At 37.9% G+C, this 21,232-nt stretch overlaps 1 protein-coding gene across 2 annotated transcripts in view; it reads left to right on the forward strand.

Moving 5' to 3' along the window:
• The window catches only part of PLPPR1 (phospholipid phosphatase related 1), a 296,409-nt gene that overhangs the window by 253,282 nt on the left and 21,895 nt on the right, over positions 1–21,232 (forward strand). For both annotated transcript variants that reach the window (NM_207299.2, NM_017753.3), the window contains exon 4: positions 4,096–4,228. In NM_207299.2, the coding sequence (NP_997182.1) occupies positions 4,096–4,228 (133 nt within the window). The remainder of the gene's footprint in view (positions 1–4,095; positions 4,229–21,232) is intronic.

Consider the following 21,232-nt stretch of genomic DNA (forward strand, 5'->3'; position numbering starts at 1 on the left):
ATCGCACCTTTTCTAACTCTCTCCCAAAAAAATTGAAAAGGAGGGACTACTTCCAAATTCATTTTACAAGGTCAGCATTCCCCTAATACCAAAGCCAGAGAAGGACACAACAACACAGGTCAACATTCCTGATGAACATAGATACAAAGATGCTCAAAAAACCCTAACAAATCAAACTTAACAGCACAGTTTAAAAGACCATTTACCATGATCATGTGGGATTCATCCCAAGGGTGCAAAGATGGTTCAACATACACAAATCAATAAATGTAGTACATCACTTTAAAAGAATGAGGAACAAAAACTATATATTTCAATAAATGCAAAAAAATGATTTGACAAAATTCAATATCCTTTTACGATTTAAAAAACCCTCAACAAATTAGGTATAAAGAAATGTAACCCAATACAATAGAGGCCATATGTGGTAAACTCACAGCTAAATTCATGTTCAACGGAGAAAAGTTGAAAGTTTTTTCTCTAAGATGTGGAATAAGACAAGGGTAACTCTCACCACTTCTATTCAACATAGTACATAAAGTCCTAGCCAGAGCAATTTGGCAAGAGAAAGAAAGAAAAGGCATTCAAATTGGAAGCAAAAACATTAAATTTTCCTTGTTTGCATATGACATCCTGTATACAGAAAACCCTGAAGACTCTACTGAAAACTGTTAGAATAAACTGGTTCAGTAAAGTTGCAGGATATAAAACAAAATACAAAAATCAGTAGCATTTCTATATATTAACTGCAAGCTATCTGAAAAAAAGTAAATAATAATCCTATTTATAATAGCTACAAAAAATACTTAGGAATTTAACCAAAGAGATGAAAAGTATCTACAATGAAAAGTATAAAATATTGATGAAAGAAATTGGAGTTGCAAAAGAATGGGAAGATATTCTATGTTCATGGATTGGAAGAATTAATACTGTTAAAATGTTTAATACTACATGAAGCAATCTACAGATTCAACTCATTTGCTACCAAAATATCAATGATACATTTTTTATAGTGATGGGATCTCGCTCTGTTGACCAGGCTAGTCTTGAACTCCTGGCCTCAAGCAATCCTCCAATCTCAGCCTTCCAAAGTGCTACGATCACAGCCGTGAGCCACCACACCCAGCTATCAATGATATTTTTCACAGGATAGAAAAAACAATCCTAAAAGTCATCAATCAAAAAAGACCTAGAATGGCCAAAGCAATCCTGAGCAAAAAGAACAAATCTGGAGACATCACACTATCTGACTTCTAAATATACTACAAGGCTATTAGTAACCAAAACAACATGCTATTGGCATATAAAGAAAGACCAATGGAATAGAACAGAACCCAGAAATAAATCCACACGTTTATAGCCAACTGATTTTCAACAAAGGTGTCAAGCACACCCAATGGGAAAAGGTCAGTCCATTAATAAATTGTGTTAGGAAAACTGGCTATCCACATGCAGAAGAGTAAAATTAAGACTTTATCTCACACCGTATACAAAAATCAACTCAAAATGGATTAAATACTTAATTGTAATACCTAAAGCAATGAGGTCTTACATAGAAGAAAAGCTTCATGACATATGTCTGGGCAATAATTTTCTGGATATGAACCCAAAAGCACAGGCAACAAAAGCAAAAATAGACAAATGGGATTACATCAAACTAAAATGCTTCTGCACAGTGAAGAAAACCAGCAACAAAGTGAAGAGACAACCTACAGAATGGGAAAATGTATTTGTAAACCATATGTCTAATAAAGATTATTAAAATATAAGAAAATCAAACAACTCAATAGCAAGATAATAACCCAATTTAAAAATGAAGAAAAGGCCTAAATAGACAAAAGACAAATGGCCAACAAATATATGAAAAAAAATGCTCAGTATCACTAATCATCAAGGACATGCAAATTAAAACCACATTGAGATATAATCTCACACCTGTTAGAATGGCTATTATCAAAAGATGAAAGATAAATATTGGTGGGAATATAGAGAAAAGGGAACACTTGCACATTGCTGGTAGAAATGTAAGTTAGTACAGCCATCGTATAGGAATCCATATGGAGGTGCCTCAAAAAATTAAAAATAGAATTGCCATTGATCTAGTAGCAATCTATATACCACTACTGAGTGTATATACAAAGGAAATGAAATAAGTATATCAAAGAGATATCTGAACTGCCATATTCGTTGCAGCATTATTCCCAATAGCCAAGATATGGAATCTGCCTCAGTGTCTGGATTTAAAATGATGTGACATATATGCCATTAAAAAGGCAATTCTGTCATTGGTGACAAGATGGATAAACCTAGAGGACATTATGTTAAGTGAAATAATCCAGGCACTGAAAGACAAATACTGCATGATCTCACTTCTAATTGTAGATGTGGAATCTACAGAAGTTGATCTCACAAGAGGAATAAGTTCAAGAGATCTATTACACAATACTGTGACTATAATTAATAAAATATATTCTTGAAAAATTCCAAGTGAACATTAAGTGTTTGTACCACAAAAATGATAACTATGTAAGATCATGCATATGTTAATTAGCTAGATTTATTAACATCACAGTGTACATACACTTTAATGCATGTGTTCTAGAGATGCTTCAGATACTATCTGTCTGTGTGTGTCCGAGTTCCTGAAACCCATAAAGGGAGAACATTATAAATGATTCCAGTTTTGAAATTTTATACTTTTTAATTTCTGTTATCCATGTGCCTTTCATTATGTCATCATCTTTATCCATCTAAACAGACATTCCAGCATGACAGGAGAAATATAAGGTATGGAATTAAAACATTAATAAATTTTCTCTAAAATCACAGGTCTATGTACAGCAAAGATGATCATCTATGAGATCACATTATTCTGGGGAAATGTTAAAATTAGGATTAGGAAAATCAAAATGGCATATGAATAGTGGGAAGTGTGGACTTTGGAATCCAATTGACGTGTATACTAATTCCTGTGCCCCATGCACCATCCATATGCTTTGGAGGGTAAATTACCTAAACTTGCTAAACTGTCACTCCTCAACAGTAAAGCAAGGATAATTATGCCTGCAGGAGGGATCTTGTGAGCCTGAAAAGACTATGCTGAAGTGCCTAACGCCCAGTATTTAATAGATAACGGTAATTAACCTTTTACTTTTCCTTGATGAGTCTCGATCTTCAGTTATGGCAGTGTCATTGTTCATGAAAACTTGTCTCTACCAATTCCTTGTTTTAAATGGGAATACACTGTGCTGGGTGCCATAAGGATACTAAAGAGTTATTAAGATGTAGTCCCTGCTATTAGGGGGCTTCTAATCTACCTAAGGGCATTATAATTTAAAGGGTAACATATATTTATTAGTTTAACGAGAGAGATGCCTATAATAAAGAAGGGCTAATCAACCAGTTCAGGGTAGGAGAAATATATCTGAGGCAATTGTGATCAAATAAGAATTTAGAATGTAAATAATTGTAATGGCACATAATAAAGTAATGCAGTTGAGTAAAGTCCTCACTTAATGTTGTGGTGGATAGGTTCTTGGAAACTGCAAGTTTAAGCAAAACAACATGCTATATAACAAAACTAATTTTACCATAGACTAATTGATATAAAGAAGAGTTAAATTCTTATAGCATACAGTATGTCATTTCACTTAAAGTTCCAGTTTTCACAAACCTGTTGATATAAAGTGAGGTCTTACTGTCACCTCTTGTGATGTGTGTATATAATGCCTTCTTGGGCACATTGGCTGTCTGAATCATTCCTCATCATTGCTACTCACACAGAAAGTTAAAAAAGAATTCAATCCCAGCATGAACCTTGTCATAAATTCTATTACAACTTATTATTTCAATTTGTTTCCATGTGACCTTAGATTTTAATATTATAGGCTGAAACTCTATCTGAAATGATCAATTATCACTTTCTCTAATTCTTTTGAAGTGTTAAATGCAAATTACGATCTAATTCACCATCTCTCTCCAACATCTTTTAAAATGATTGTGGGTCCTCAACAGTTTTGTTTTGTTTTTAAAGCCATGGGCCTCTCTTATCAAACAGATCTCCAACTTGACATTTCTTAAACATTCCTTCCCTAGATTTTTATTGGTGAGATATCCATGTATTTCATAAAATCAACAAGAGAATCCCTGATTGCTCAGGAGAAAACAATTCTGACCGGAGAATGCTGTTACCTGAACCCCTTACTTCGAAGGATCATAAGATTCACAGGTGAGTACAAGATGGTGCTGAACTAAGCTCTCACATAAAAGTAAAATTACTAAAGGCAAACACTTGGTAAAATAAACTATGGAAGTATCAACATTAAAAGCAAGGGCTGCTTTGGGGATTTTCCTGATCCTACTGCCACATCAAATTTTTGACTCTCGAAATGGTACTTCTTAAATTGTCTTATGAATGATTTCAACTGATTTTCCCCCCACATAGCAGTTATCTGAGATTCCCCTGGACGTATGTTTTAATATTGGCTGGATATTGCTATATACCTTTTAGCAGAGTCAGGCAAGGGGTTGGGGTGGGGGAGCATCAGGGGACGCCAATAAAATAAATTTAGAAATAGTCAAATTTCCTGACAGACTTCCCATCCAGTAATTTTGTTATGCAGGGAATTTAACAAAGAGTGGGAAATCTCAGCCATCAGGTTCTTGAAAATAATGCCTTTTCAAAGTTGGAAAACAAATACTTTTATTAGTGTTCATGATAGGGAATAATGAAGGCATATTCTACATCCCTCCTTCTAGGACTTTTATGAAAATTCCTGAGGTGCTAGTGATTAATAATTATAGATATGGGAATAAATGTGTATGGGTACAGGTAAGAATAGAGATCTTACAAAGTTCCTACACATTAAGTACTCTATAAATGATAACTATTACAGTATTCTAATGAGATCCTACAAATACCTCCTGACCAGATTTTTAAGGGAGCCATGATACCATTTAAAACAAGAGAACTGACAACTGAGAAAGTGAGGGTCAGAATACAGCATGCTGTCAAGCCTTTTGGTAATCCTTAATCTTTTTTTCCTGTTGTAGGAAATGATTGAATTTCTTCAAGTAATAAGCAAATACCACATCAAAATCAAATATGCAATAACTTGTCTGGTTGGAGTGGAAATGAAAGAAATAGTGCAGTGGGAAACCTAAGAAAATCTAATTTAAAAGAAGTAACCCTTAACATTAAAATAGTCTCAGGCATTTGATGTTATTTGCAGAATAAAAGTTTTTGCAGATTATGCAAGTTTGCAATTGGCTTACAGGGTATACCCTGATCAATATGATGCCACTACTATCTAGTTCACTCATTCCAAACAATGGCTCCTTCCAAAGATGTCCAGAGTTTGATCACTTCCCAGAGGGGCAAGATAAGAGATCATCAAGGGGAAATGAGGAGAGAAGAGAATATTTATGATACAGAACACTGAACTAGACATTTTACAGAAATTATTTCTTTTAATCTACCCAAAACCCTGTAAGGTATTTTATTTTATTTTTTAGACAGAGTCTTGCTCTCTCCCCAGGCTGGAGTGCAGTGGCACGACCTCGGCTCACTGCAACCTCCGTCTGCCAGGTTCAAGCGATTCTCCTGTCTCAGCCTCCTGAGTAGGTGGGATTATAGGTGCCTGTCCCTAAGACTGGATAATTTTTGCATTTTTAGTAGAGACGAGGTTCCACCATCTTGGCCAAGCTGGTCTTGGACTCCTGACCTCAGGTGATCCACCTGCCTCAGCCTCCCAAAGTGCTGGGATTACAGACATGAGCCACTGTGCCCGGCCCCTGTAACGTATTTCATAGTCCTAGTTGTACATATGAAGAATCTTGACAGGAAATGGGGTAAAGTAACTTTTCCCCAGGAGTAACGCATGCACACACACGTACATAATTTGATTCAGGGAAGATTTTATGACTACTGTCCGATCTATTTCCTGTATATATAATTAAAGCAAGTTATTTAAAGCAGAGATTTATTGCAATTAAATTGGAATACCTTTTAAAGTCAGTTATTTCCCTTGGCAAAGATAAATTATACCTTTTGTGACCCACCCACTTGGAGCAGGGTCCAAGGAATAAAAATTTTGACTGGCACTTGTCATTTATATAGACCTTTATGCATTGGTAGCACAAGTCTCTGTTTATTGAGGGATGCCAGAAGATCACCACCATCCAGGAACCAGTCCTCTAGATTGTCTGTTGTGGTATCCAAAACTCCCACTTGAGACACCACATTGGAGAGAGGCATGGTTCAGAAAGACCACCGTTAAAGTAGAAATTTGTCACGCTGGAGGAGCATCAAATTCCCATTTATAATCAATGACACATTAGTCCGTTTGGGTCTGTCATAAGCTAATAGAGATCTGGACCTTGGGAGGATAAGCCAGCGACATTCAAATAAGGTGAGTTAGAGTTCAGCATCATGAGATTCTGCTTCTAAGGAAGGGATGCTAGAGCAGAGAGATAGCCAAAAGATAACATTTAAACTTTGGAGAATTAGAGGAAACAGCATTGAAAGGCAAAGGGGATTGCTGGGTTTAGTAAAAAAATAAAAAAATAAAAAAAAAGCACTTCCTTCACGCTTTCCCTCTTTTGTTTTTTATGACTCTAGGATCCACCCAGTTGCTCAAGTAAAAAACCTGAGAGACACCTTACGCCATCTGGGAACTTGTTAGAAATTCTTAAACCTCATTCTATACCTGCTAAATCAGAAAATGTAGGGATTAAGTCTGATTATTTGTGTTTTCGCAAGTCATCCAGGTGATTCTGATGCATGGAAAGTTTGAGAACCACTGGTTTAGGTTATTAAAAGTTCTTGTCTCCCTATATCTTGTTTTGCAATATCATTGCATTCACCCCAGCCCCACAAAGCTACCATCTATTGACCGTTTTGTAGCTATTGAGCTTTTTGAAGCAAAAATATGAGCAAGTCAATTCTCTGCTTAAAACCTTTCAATAGATTTCTAGTGTCCTTAACATAGCCTACAGAGCCCTTCACAATCTGAGGTCCTCACATGTCTCCAGCCTCATCCCGAGCCACTCCCTTGTGAGGCCCTCTCCCATCATGCTAAACGGCTTCACATGGCCTCCAAAGGAAAGTGTGACACCTTGCCTCAGTACCTGCACATGTGCTGCTCCTTCAGCCTAGAATATTCTATTGCTACCCCTTCACTTTACAAGCTGGCCAAACCCTACTCATCTTCAGAATGCTGTTTAGACATTACCTGTTTACCAATCCCATCAACTAGTTGCCTCGTCTTCTAGGCCTCCACTGAGCCTTGCACCTACATCTGTTATAGGCACTTCTCATATTACTATAATTACTTAAATCTGTTACTCCTATTAATTTATGATCGCTTGGAGAACAGAAGTTGTATCTTTTTCATTCCATGTCAACAGCATACTTCAAAGTACCTGGTACATAGGTTGCCAAAAAATGATTTTTGAGAGTTGATATGGTTTGGCTTTGTGTCTCTACCCAAATCTCATCTTGAATTGTACTCCCATAATTCCCACATGTTGTGAGAGGGACCTGGTAGGAGATAACTTGAATCCTGGGGGTGGTTCCCCCATACTGTTCTCATGGTAGTGAATAAGTCTCAAAATATCTGATGGTTTTATCAGGGGTTTCTGCTTTTGCGTCTTCCTCATTTTCTCTCTTTGCCCACTGCCATCTATGTATGATATGACTTGCTCCTCCTTGCCTTCTGCCATGATTGTGAGGCTTCCCCAGCCACATGGAACTGTGAGTTCTTCATTAAACCTCTTTGCTTTGTAAATCGCCCAACCTCAGGTATGTCTTTATTAGGGTGAATGAAAAGCAAAGATAAACTTTGTTAAATCATGGATTTGCCTAAAACTAGTTTCATAAAAGCTGATTCTTAAGTATTCATTTGCCTTCTGTTTAATTAACTTTATTACCACTTTCAGCTTAGTCCTAGGAAATTAAAGTGCATAAATGAGGTAATTTCTAAGAGAAAGCCAGAGAAGTCTGTTCTGACTTTTCCTGTAGGAGGGGTGAAGGAATGCATCTATTAATCTTGAGAAGGGTAACTTACTCTGAGTATATGTGAATTTTTTTCACAAGAAAGGGTACTACTTACAATAAAGACTCTTTAAATGGAAATGTTTTCTTTGGAAAAAATTAGAGTAAAATAAGGGAGTAATCAAAATATATTAGAAAAACTTATTTTGAAGAGCTTAACCGTCTTTTTTCTAGCCCCAAAGCTACCAAAATACATACTACGCAATTGACATTGGAAAATGACAACTGTTTCCACTAGCCATTCTAATGAACCTGAAATGGCATGAATTTTCTCTTGCAGTTTATGTAATTATTCCACAATCTACTACAAATAGTATTTTCCAAGAAATATCATCAGCTCCACATTGCAAAAAAGGCCAGTGAATTCATTTTTAAGAAAATAAGGCTTTATGCTGTAAAAGATGAAAAAACGTGAGATTCTAATACAATTCTGGTTAAATTGATATTTAACCCTTTCTGCATTGCAATTTGACAGTGTATTTCAATAACCTTACAAATAATGGTCTTTTTTTAACCCCAAATTCCACTGCAAATAATCCATTCTAATGAAACAATCAGAAATGTAGATTAATTTTTGTGGACTAAAATTATTTTTTAAGTTAGATATCTCTAATTTTTTTAAAAAAATGAGGCCATTATAAGTTGCAACCTCAGAAAATGGTATTAAGAATTTTTCATGGAGAATATTCATGATATGTGAAAAGTTAAAACACTATGAATCCGATCCTTTCCTGATCCGGGAGCCAAGATGGCCGAATAGGAACAGCTCCAGTCTACAGCTCTCAGCGTGAGTGACGCAGAAGATGGGTGATTTCTGCATTTCCATCTGAGGTACCTGGTTCATCTCACTAGGGAGTGCCAGACAGTGGGCGCAGGACAGTGGGTGCAGCGCACCAAGCGCGAGCCAAAGTAGGGCGAGGCATTGCTTCACTCGGGAAGTGCAAGGGGTCAGGGAGTTCCCTTTCCTAGTCAAAGAAAGGGGTGAAAGACGGCACCTGGAAAATCGGGTCACTCCCACCCTAATACTGCGCTTTTCCGACAACAGGCTTAAAAAACAGCGCACCAGGAGATTATATCCCTCACATGGCTCGGAGGGTCCTACGCCCATGGAGTCTCCCTGATTGCTAGCACAGCAGTCTGAGATCAAACTGCAAGGTGGCAGCAAGGCTGGGGGAGGGGCGCCCGCCATTGCCCAGGCTTGCTTAGGTAAACAAAGCAGCCGGGAAGCTCGAACTGGGTGGAGCCCACCACAGCTCACAGAGGCCTGCCTGCCTCTGTAGGCTCCACCTCTGGGGGCAGGGCACAGACAAACAAAAAGACAGCGGTAACCTCTGCAGACTTAAATGTCCCTGTCTGACAGCTTTGAAAAGAGCAGTGGTTCTCCCAGCACGCAGCTGGAGATCTGAGAATGGGCAGACTGCCTCCTCAAGTGGGTCCCTGACCCCTGACCCCCGAGCAGCCTAACTGGGAGGCACCCGCCAGTAGGGGCAGACTGACACCTCACACGGCCGGGTACTCCTCTGAGACAAAACTTCCAGAGGAATGATCAGACAGCAGCATTCGCAGTTTACGAAAATCCGCTGTTCTGCAGCCACTGCTGCTGGTACCCAGGCAAACAGGGTCTGGAGTGGACCTCTAGCAAACTCCAACAGACCCGCAGCTGAGGGTCCTGTCTGTTAGAAGGAAAACTAACAAACAGAAAGGACATCCACACCAAAAACCCATCTGTACATCACCATCATCAAAGACCAAAGGTAGATAAAACGACAAAGATGGGGAAAAAACAGAACAGAAAAACTGGAAATTCTAAAAAGCAGAGCACCTCTCCTCCTCCAAAGGAACACAGCTCCTCACCAGCAACAGAACAAAGCTGGATGGAGAATGACTTTGACGAGTTGAGAGAAGAAGGCTTCAGACGATCAAACTACTCTGAGCTACAGGAGGAAATTCAAATCAAAGGCAAAGAAGTTGAAAACTTTGAAAAAAATGTAGACGAATATATAACTAGAATAACCAATACAGAGAAGTGCTTAAAGGAGCTGATGGAGCTGCAAGCCAAGGCTCGAGAACTACGTGAAGAATGCAGAAGCCTCAGGAGCCGACGCAATCAACTGGAAGAAAGGGTATCAGCAATGGAAAATGAAATGAATGAAATGAAGTGAGAAGGAAAATTTAGAGAAAAAAGAATAAAAAGAAATGAACAAAGCCTCCAAGAAATATGGGACTATGTGAAAAGACCAAATCTACCTCTGATTGGTGTACCTGAAAGTGATGGGGAGAATGGAACCAAGTTGGAAAACACTCTGCAGGATATTATCCAGGAGAACTTCCCCAATCTAGCAAGGCAGGCCAACATTCAAATTCAGGAAATACAGAGAATGCCACAAACATACTCCTCGAGAAGAGCAACTCCAAGACACATAATTGTCAGATTCACCAAAGTTGAAATGAAGAAAAAAATGTTAAGGGCAGCCAGAGAGAATGGTCGGGTAACCCACAAAGGGAAGCCCATCAGACTAACAGCGGATCTCTTGGCAGAAACTCTGCAAGCCAGAAGAGAGTTGGGCGGGGCGGGGGGGGCCAATATTCAACATTCTTAAAGAAAAGAATTTTCAACCCAGAATTTCATATCCAGCCAAACTAAGCTTCATAAGTGAAGGAGAAATAAAATCCTTTACAGACAAGCAAATGCTGAGAGATTTTGTCACCACCAGGCCTGCTCTAAAAGAGCTCCTGTAGGAAGCACTAAACATGGAAAGGAACAACCAGTACCAGCCACTGCAAAATCATGCCAAATTGTAAAGACCATCGAGGCTAGGAAGAAACTGCATCAACTAACGAGCAAAATAACCAGCTAACATCATAATGACAGGATCAAATTCACACATAACAATATTAACTTTAAATGTAAATGGACTAAATGCTCCAATTAAAAGACACAGACTGGCAAATTGGATAGAGTCAAGACCCATCAGTGTGCTGTATTCAGGAAACCCATCTCATGTGCAGAGACACACATAGGCTCAAAATAAAAGGATGGAGGAAGATCTACCAAGCAAATGGAAAACAAAAAAAGGCAGGGGTTGCAATCCTAGTCTCTGATAAAACAGACTGTAAACCAACAAAGATCAAAAGAGACAAAAAAGGCCATTACATAATGGTAAAGGGATCAATTCAACAAGAAGAGCTAACTATCCTAAATATATATGCACCCAATACAGGACCACCCAGATTCATAAAGCAAGTCCTGAGTGACCTACAAGGAGACTTAGACTCCCACACAATAATAATGGGAGACTTTAACACCCCACTGTCAACATTAGACAGATCAACGAGACAGAAAGTTAACAAGGATACCCAGGAATTGAACTCAGCTCTGCACCAAGCAGACCTAATAGACATCTACAGAACTCTCCACCCCAAATCAACAGAATATACATTTTTTTCAGCCCCACACCACACCTATTCCAAAATTGACCACATAGTTGGAAGTAAAGCTCTCCTCAGCAAATGTAAAAGATCAGAAATTATAACAAACTGTCTCTCAGACCACAGTGCAATCAAACTAGAACTCAGGATTAAGAAACTCACTAAAAACCACTCAACTACATGGAAACTGAACAACCTGCTCCTGAATGACTACTGGGTACATAACGAAATGAAGGCAGAAATAAAGATGTTCTTTGAAACCAACGAGAACAAAGACACAACATACCAGAATCTCTGGGACACACTCAAAGTAGTGTGTAGAGGGAAATTTATAGCACTAAATGCCCACAAGAGAAAGCAGGAAAGATCCAAAATTGACACCCTAACATCACAATTAAAAGAACTAGAAAAGCAAGAGCAAACACATTCAAAAGCTAGCAGAAGGCAAGAAATAACTAAAATCAGAGCAGAACTGAAGGAAACAGAGACACAAAAAACCCTTCAAAAAATTAATGAATCCAGGAGCTGATTTTTTGAAAGGATCAACAAAATTGATAGACCGCTAGCAAGACTAATAAAGAAGAAAAGAGAAGAATCAAATAGATGCAATAAAAAATGATAAAGGGGATATCACCACCGATCCCACAGAAATACAAACTATCATCAGAGAATACTACAAACACCTCTATGCAAATAAACTAGAAAATCTAGAAGAAATGGATAAATTCCTCGACACATACACCCTCCCAAGACTAAACCAGGAAGAAGTTGAATCTCTGAATAGACCAATAACAGGCTCTGAAATTGTGGCAATAATCAATAGCTTACCAACCAAAAAGAGTCCAGGACCAGATGGATTCACAGCCGAATTCTACCAGAGGTACAAGGAGGAACTGGTATCATTCCTTCTGAAACTATTCCAATCAATAGAAAAAGAGGGAATCCTCCCTAACTCATTTTATGAGGCCAGCATCATCCTGATACCAAAGCCTGGCACAGACACAACAAAAAAAGAGAATTTTAGACCAATATCCTTGATGAACATTGATGCAAAAATCCTCAATAAAATACTGGCAAACCGAATCCAGCAGCACATCAAAAAGCTTATCCACCATGATCAAGTGGGCTTCATCCCTGGGATGCAAGGCTGGTTCAGTATACACAAATCAATAAATGTAATCTAGCATATAAACAGAACCAAAGACAAAAACCACATGATTATCTCAATAGATGCAGAAAAGGCCTTTGACAAAATTCAACAACCTTCATGCTAAAAACTCTCAATAAATTAGGTATTGATGGGACGTATCTCAAAATAATAAGAGCTATCTATGACAAACCCACAGCCAATATCATACTGAATGGGCAAAAACTGGAAGCATTCCCTTTGAAAACTGGCACAAGACAGGGATTCCCTGTCTACTACTCCTATTCGACATAGTGTTGGAAGTTCTGGCCAGGGCAATTAGGCAGGAGAAGGAAATAAAGGGTATTCAATTAGGAAAAGAGGAAGTCAAATTGTCCCTGTTTGCAGATGACATGATTGTATATCTCAAAAACCCCATTGTGTCAGCCCAAAATCTCCTTAAGCTGATAAGCAACTTCAGCAAAGTCTCAGGATACAAAATCAATGTACAAAAATCACAAGCATTCTTATACACCAATAACAGACAAACAGAGAGCCAAATCATGAGTGAACTCCCATTCACAATTGCTTCAAAGAGAATAAAATACCTAGGAATCCAACTTACAAGGGACGTGAAGGACCTCTTCAAGGAGAACTACAAACCGCTGCTCAAGGAAATAAAAGAGGATACAAACAAATGGAAGAACATTCCATGCTCATGGGTAGGAAGAATCAATATCGTGAAAATGGCCATACTGCCCAAGGTAATTTATAGATTCAATGCCATCTCCATCAAGCTACCAATGACTTTCTTCACAGAATTGGAAAAAACTACTTTAAAGTTCATATGGAACCAAAAAAGAGCCCACATCACCAATTCAATCCTAAGCCAAAAGAACAAAGCTGGAGGCATCACACTACCTGACTTCAAACTATACTACAAGGCTACAGTAACCAAAACAGCATGGTACTGGTACCAAAACAGAGATATAGATCAATGGAACAGAACAGAGCCCTCAGAAATAACGCCACATATCTACAACTATCTGATCTTTGACAAACCTGAGAAAAACAAGCAATGGGGAAAGGAATCCCTATTTAATAAATGGTGCTGGGAAAACTGGCTAGCCATATGTAGAAAGCTGAAACTGGATCCCTTCCTTACACCTTATACGAAAATTAATTCAAGATGGATTAAAGACTTAAACGTTAGACCTAAAACCATAAAAACCCTAGAAGAAAACCTAGGCATTACCATTCAGGACATAGGCATGGGCAAGGACTTCATGTCTAAAACACCAAAAGCAATGGCAACAAAAGCCAAAATTGACAAATGGGATCTAATTAAACTAAAGAGCTTCTGCACAGCAAAAGAAACTACCATCAGAGTGAACAGGCAACCTATAAAATGGGAGAAAATTTTCACAACCTACTCATCTGACAAAGGGCTAATATCCAGAATCTACAATGAACTCAAACAAATTTACAAGAAAAAAACAACCCCATCAAAAAGTAGGCGAAGGACATGAACAGACACTTCTCAAAAGAAGACATTTATGCAGCCAAAAAACACATGAAAAAATGCTCACCATCACTGGCCATCAGAGAAATGCAAATCAAAACCACAATGAGATACCATCTCACACCAGTTAGAATGGCAATCATTAAAAAGTCAGGAAACAACAGGTGCTGGAGAGGATGTGCAGAAATAGGAACACTTTTACACTGTTGGTGGGACTGTAAACTAGTTCAACCATTGTGGAAGTCAGTGTGGCAATTCCTCAGGGATCTAGTACTAGAAATACCATTTGATCCAGCCATCCCATTACTGGGTATATACCCAAAGGACTATAAATCATGCTGCTATAAAGACACATGCACATGTATGTTTATTGCGGCACTATTCACAATAGCAAAGACTTGGAACCAACACAAATGTCCAACAGTGATCCACTGGATAACGAAAATGTGGCACATATACACCATGGAATACTATGCAGCCATAAAAAATGAGTTCATGTCCTTTGTAGGGACATGGATGAAATTGGAAATCATCATTCTCAGTAAACTGTCGCAAGAACAAAAAACCAAACACCGTATATTTTCACTCATAGGTGGGAATTGAACAATGAGAACACATGGACACAGGAAGGGGAACATCACACTCTGGGGACTGTTGTGGGGTGGGTGGAGCGGGGAGGGATAGCATTAGGAGATATACCTAATGCTAAATGACGAGTTAATGGGTGCGGCACACCAGCATGTCACATGTATACATATGTAACTAACCTGCACATTGTGCACATGTACCCTAAAACTTAAAGTATAATAATAATAAAATAAAATTTAAAAAAACACTATGAATCCATAATTGTTTTTAAATAAAAAGAATGCAACATTATATAAGTGTATATGTGTATTTGTGTGTTATCCATAGCAAAGAGACTGAAGGGAAACACACTAAAAATTAGCTGTTGTCACTTCTGAATTGTAGGATAATGGGCAAATTGGGCAAATAATTTTTGGCTTTCTAATGTTCCATAATTTTAATTTTTTATCATGAATATGTTTACTTTTAGAAATCAGAAAAAGAACTAAAGATAATTTTTTTAAAGAGTGAGGGCAGAATAAAGGCTATCCAGAACGATGGCCAAGTTCTCTAACAGTCTTCAGTGTGGATAGAAGAGCAAAAACTTCAACTTGCTTCTCTAATTCTTTTGTCTCCTCTCGTCTGTGTGGCATGGATTTGAAGGATAGGCTTCTGCTTCACCCCACAGATCCAAATTAAGTTTTAAATGAGACAATGACAAGAATAGTGACATCAAAGAGAAAACATTCAAATTCAACCATCTCCTCCTTTAGCAAATGCTAATGGTGTTGACTTTGACGGAGAGTATTAAATTCCTTTGATTCACAAATCCAACAATACATTTTTCCCCCCAACCTTCTCATTATAAGAAAGCTGCCTGTCCTCCCAGGCTTTAAGCATAAAACATCATAGCTAAACTTCTCTATCCACTTCTAAACCATTGTATAGTTTCTCAAGTTATATTTATATAATGTGCAAAGGGAGGAAAGGAACTGGCTAAACTAACAAATTTTACCTGTACTTTATAAAAACAAATGTAATCAAATTAGTAACATGTATTAAGACTCCTCTCTCTCATTTTTTCCCTCTTCATTTCTTTTACTTTATACCATTTCCTTTGCTACTACATTACATTGTGTAGTAACAGCAACACAGATTTATGTTCTCAAGAGAGTTAAACACCCACCTTTCTTTTTCAGTGGCAATGACTAAGTAAGGAAGTTACATTTTCCAAAAAAAATGTGAAGTTCAGTTCAGTTCTGCTCACAAATATACTTGAGTAAATATTTTTGTAAATATAAATTATTAAACAGTAACTTTTTAATACTGAAAAGTAATGAATAGACAGCATTAGAATTTGATGAGGGTTTTTGGTTTGTTTACCATATAGAAGGAAAACCAAATTAACTTTCCCTTCCTGAATAGTTGCTTTGAGTTAATTAAAAAACTGATCCAAATATGCAAACATTAGACTATTAGCACTAAAATAGCTTGTCATCCAGAGCTCTTCATTATAGTCTTTTCATTTGGGGTCACACAGTTGATCCATTATTACTTCTAATAAAAATTTAATTAAATACCAGCCAAGTCTTCTGCCATTTAGGTCCGGTCCGAGGATTAGGTAGCACTGGACAGACTAAAAAGTGCCATGGTAAACAGCGAATTCATGTAACGCTAATTAATTTCCATAAATCAAGTGTGGTCTAAGTGAAGCATGAATATTTTAAATGCAGTTTCAAAGGTCATGGCGTTTTATGGTTTTAAGAATTGATACCCTGGGACGAGCTTAATGTCAGCCTTTTTGAGAACTAGAAAATCCTCGATTTTGAAAGTCATTTAAATGTACTTTATCAGAAAAAGACTTTATTTGATTCAATTAGTCTATTTCTGTTTGCATTCAGTATTTATAGTTAAAATACAGCTGGGGGGCCGGTCATGTTCATTCAACCTTCAATGAAATAGTCATTGAGCACCTACTAGATGCTAGGTACAGATTAAGGTGTTTAGAATCTATGAGTGAACCAAATAGAAATGTGCCCTCATTCAGTTTATAGTCTGATAGAAAAAGCCAGACACTAAACAAAATAAATTATAATGTTAGAAGATAAGTAGTACAGAGAAAAATAGGGAAAGGAAATAGGGAGTTTGTGGCAGCAGATATGTAATTTTAAATGGAGAGGAGAAGCTGTATACCATGAGAATTGTTGAGTTGGCAGTGAATTCATAGCAGGACAGAGCAATCAAGACAGGGATGATCCCAGGGAAACAGATGCCCAGGGAACCAGGCCAGCTCCATGTGCTGACCGAGAAGTTCAATCTACCCAGGTAGTCTAAAGATAAGTGACAGTGCCCAGGCACCCAACTTTCTTTCTGAGCCATGAGTCTAGATCATAAAAGAAAAATGTCAAGAGCAAGGCAGGACATGGGCCTATAAGCAGATGGAGATAATTTCTAGAATTCAGCAACAGGAACCGTAGTTGAAGCTCAGGTACACAGGTTAAGAGGAAAGAGCCAGGAAGAATCTTCAGGGAACAAAATGGAACCCCTGTTTCTGGACCACTTAAGCAGCCAAGGCACTAGATTAGAGACTAAGATGTTTGCTGCTTCCTACTAGGGATCAGGATTGGGCTTGTGGCTGGGATTCAAGGATGCAGGGGAGGAAGGATGCTGAAGCTGGTACCATGACTGGCCTAGAAGGCGTAGCCAGGGAGCAACCTTTGCTTGGGTCTCAAGAAATTGTGATGAGGTTACTTTTGGTTCCTCTGCTCAGTGCAGGGACTGAATCTATTCCCCTTTGATTGTCATCCTTGGTGAGCCAGAATATTACAGATCTGACCAAGACTCCTACCCTAGAACTCCCTAGATTACCCTAATTATCAAGAGGAAAGTTATTGAGTCATATGAGACTAGTGATTCTTTTCTGTGGGTCCTCCTTAGCTCTAGTGTTGAGAGGCTGGACTCCAATAAAGGACTGAGCAGAAGACTGCTTTCTGTAGCACTTTGCAGGTTAGACAATGCAAATTCATGACACTACAGTGAACTTAATTGCTGTAAAACAGTGTTTCTTACCCTCAGCACTCTCGACATTCTCTGCCAGATAATTCTTTTTTTGTGTAGAAGTAGAATACTGACTTGTGTGCATTGTATTAATACAATGTTTAGTAGTACCCCTGGCCTCTATCCAACAAATGCCAATAGCACTCACTCCTCTAGTAGTGACAATCAAAAATGTCTCCAAACATTACAAAAGTTCCCTGGGGCAGGGTCACCCTCAGCTGACAACTACTTTTGTAAAGGTTTTTTTAAGTATATTTCAAAGACTTTTAAGAAGTTATACAATATCTTGCATAACAAAAATATTCATATAACAAAACTAGGCACTAACTGATGACTCAACAGTTAGTAAAGTGTAGTTTCAAAGCTTTCTATAATAATTTTTAAAAAGTAGTGTGTGTTTTGGAAGCAACTTACTTATTTTTATTTTCTGAGACAGGGTCTTACTCTGTCACCCAGGCTGGAGTGCAGTAACATGACCACAGCTCACTGCAGCCTTGACCTCCCAGGCTCAAGCAATCCTCCCACCTCAGTCTCCTGAGTAGCCGGGAGCACAGGCACACACCACCACACCCAGCTAATTTTAAATTATTATTATTTGCAGAGACAGGGTCTCCCTATGTTGCCGAGGTTGGTCTCGAACTTAAGGGATCCTCCAGCCTCAGCCTTCCAGAGTGTTGATATTATAGGTGTGAGCAGAAACTATTTAAGTTATTACATTAGAACATAATGAAATTGTTTAGGAAATGCATCAAGCAGAGGGCAACAGTGCCAGATCTCAGTATCTGTAAATCACCAACAGGGCTGGGAGCTGCCCATGGGGGCTTGATGCTGATCTTGTGGTAGGAATGGGAGTAGATTCAGATCATCAGCTTCAGCTTTAGAAACTTACAAACATGGAATCACAAAAGCCGAATTTGAAGCCTTCTAAAAATCCAGGCCTCAATATTCCTATATTTCGATATCTCTTGGTAGCTACATTTTTTTCTCCACATTTAGTTTGTATCCAGGGCATATTTTCTAGACTTACTTGCATCCACAGGTTCCATTCCACTTTAAAGTTACCATAGCCTCTGGCAAACTTTTATGTTTTCCTCTGTATTAAGCAGCATTTGGCATTATACCGCCTAGAGGGACCGAGAAGATATTTAGAGGCTAGGTGGCAAGAGAGAAGGCTCATATTTGTGAGATAAAGCACTGGGGAATTGTCCTGTCAAAGGAGTAAAGAGGACATTCTTGAGATAAAATCCTGTTAAGAAGCAGAGTAATTTTATGCTTTGAGGAAGTAAAAATGTATTTGTTTGTTCTTTTGTTTATAAAAATATTTGGTGGGCTTTCTAGTTGATTACTCATCATCTTTATTAAGTAATTATCCTTCATCTTCACTTATCATGAGTAATTACAATGACAAATACAGGGTATTTTTTTCTAAACCACCAGCTTATCGCATTGTAAAAGGTGCTTTATTAATACAAAGGATGAATAACTGAGTCAAATATTTGTTTCAGGTTGTTACAATTGTAGGTTTCTTATATCTTTCCTGCATTTAAAAAATAATTTTATAATCAATTTATAACCACTTCCCTTAGTTACATCTACTTCTCTCAGTTATAAGAGCAATATCAATAAAGGGCTCACAATTGACAAAGTGTTTTTACAACTGTTTTTTATGATTTGAATAATCACCCTGTGATACAAGGCATACTTATAATTCATTTTAACAGATAAAGTGACTAGGTTCAGATTAATTGACTTTAATAAAATCTTTTCTTATGATTTCAACCATCTGATCAAGACAAGCAGGCTATTGTCAGCCTTTGGTGTTTGTGCAGTATCGATAGGAGAAAGACTACAGCATTGCTCTGTAAACACCTAAAATTTACTATCCAAGGAACTGATGTATTCAATTTTGCCAGAAACTTATTTTTGAAGCACAATATATAGGGCATATGGATCAATTGCACCGAATGTGTTTGTCATACTAGAAAAAAGTCAGATTCATTGCTAAAGTGATGAGAAAAGTGCCTTATTCAAATGATGACATATCATAGATATTCAATCATCTTCTTTTTGGAAAATTGACTACAAAATTGAAGAATTCGTATTCTGTTGTGGCAAGTGAAATACATTTCATGAGGGACATGTTATAAAGTCCTTGCCTCTTCTCAGTGCTGTGTGCATGTGTGTGTGCTCCCAAGCATAAGCTAAGATATCTTTATGGTCTGATGCTTATCCATATGTATGTTAATAATAAATAAGCTTAGACAATTATGATTAAGAATATAGCCTCTGGAGCCTTACTATTCTGTTTGTAACCCAAGCTCCTCTACTCACTAGCTGTATGACCTTGGTCAAGTTAATTGACTTCTCTGGATCTCAATTTCCTCACCTGTAAAATGTAGGGATAATAGTGTCTACCTCAAAGTCATGGTGAGCATTAGGTGAACTAATATTGCAAAGCACTTAGAACAATACTTTGTATGTACTAAGCACAGCATATTAGCTATTGTTATTATTACCTGGTATCCATGGCAGTCATAGTTAAACATCTCATCAGGTCAGTACACCTTTATAAGGAAATGGGATGAACATGGTAACCTCAGATAAATTATCTTCATAGGAAACTTCCAGTTTGAATAAAGCATGTTAATGAGAAAGCATTTTACCACTTTTCCTAAAGAAACTGTGGTTTCCTGAAGGAATGGTCTTCAATAGTTGAATTGAGGTACCTTGGCAAAAATGGAATTAGATAGAGATTTTCTACTGGGGATCCTGATGTGGAAAAGAAAAAGCAAAAGTAAACTGTATGTGTTTCTTTAATCTTGTGTTCCATTTCCAATGGAAGTTGGTGGTTGAATCAGAATGTGGTTGGGGAAACAGTGTTAAGAATTCCTTAGGTATTCCTCTTACAGTGTTGAAATGGCACTGGTAAACCCCTGCCATTTGCTTGTACTTTTCTGTGTGGGATAAGATTTTTTTATCATTTTTTCTACCAAAACAGAGGCCAGAAGCTAATGGGAGGGCACGTTTTCTCATTTTGTGGACATCACGGTAGAAAAGCTACCACAAAGAGATGCACAAAGCTGGTTAGATTTTGAAAACGAGAAAATGTTCAAGTATCCTCAATATCATACAACATGCTACTACTTTCACTATCTTTCACGACATCGTTTTACCATAGAGAAACAAAAGAACAGTCCTCTTTTTAACAGTTTATTTTTGTTGTTATTTTGTTTTTGTTTTTTGAGACAGAGTCTCGCTCTGTTGCCCAGGCTGGAGTGCAGTGGCACAATCTCAGCTCACTGCAACCTCCGCCTCCCACGTTCAAGCGATTCTCCTGCCTCAGCCTCCTGAGTAGCTGGGATTACAGGCACCCAGCACCACCGGCTAATTTTTGTATTTTTAGTAAGGACAGGGTTTTATCATGCTGGCCAGGCTGGTCTCAAACTCCTGGCCTTAAGTGATCCACCCACCTCTGCCT

Source organism: Homo sapiens, chromosome 9, assembly GCF_000001405.40.
Source record: "Homo sapiens chromosome 9, GRCh38.p14 Primary Assembly".
NCBI lineage: Eukaryota > Metazoa > Chordata > Mammalia > Primates > Hominidae > Homo > Homo sapiens.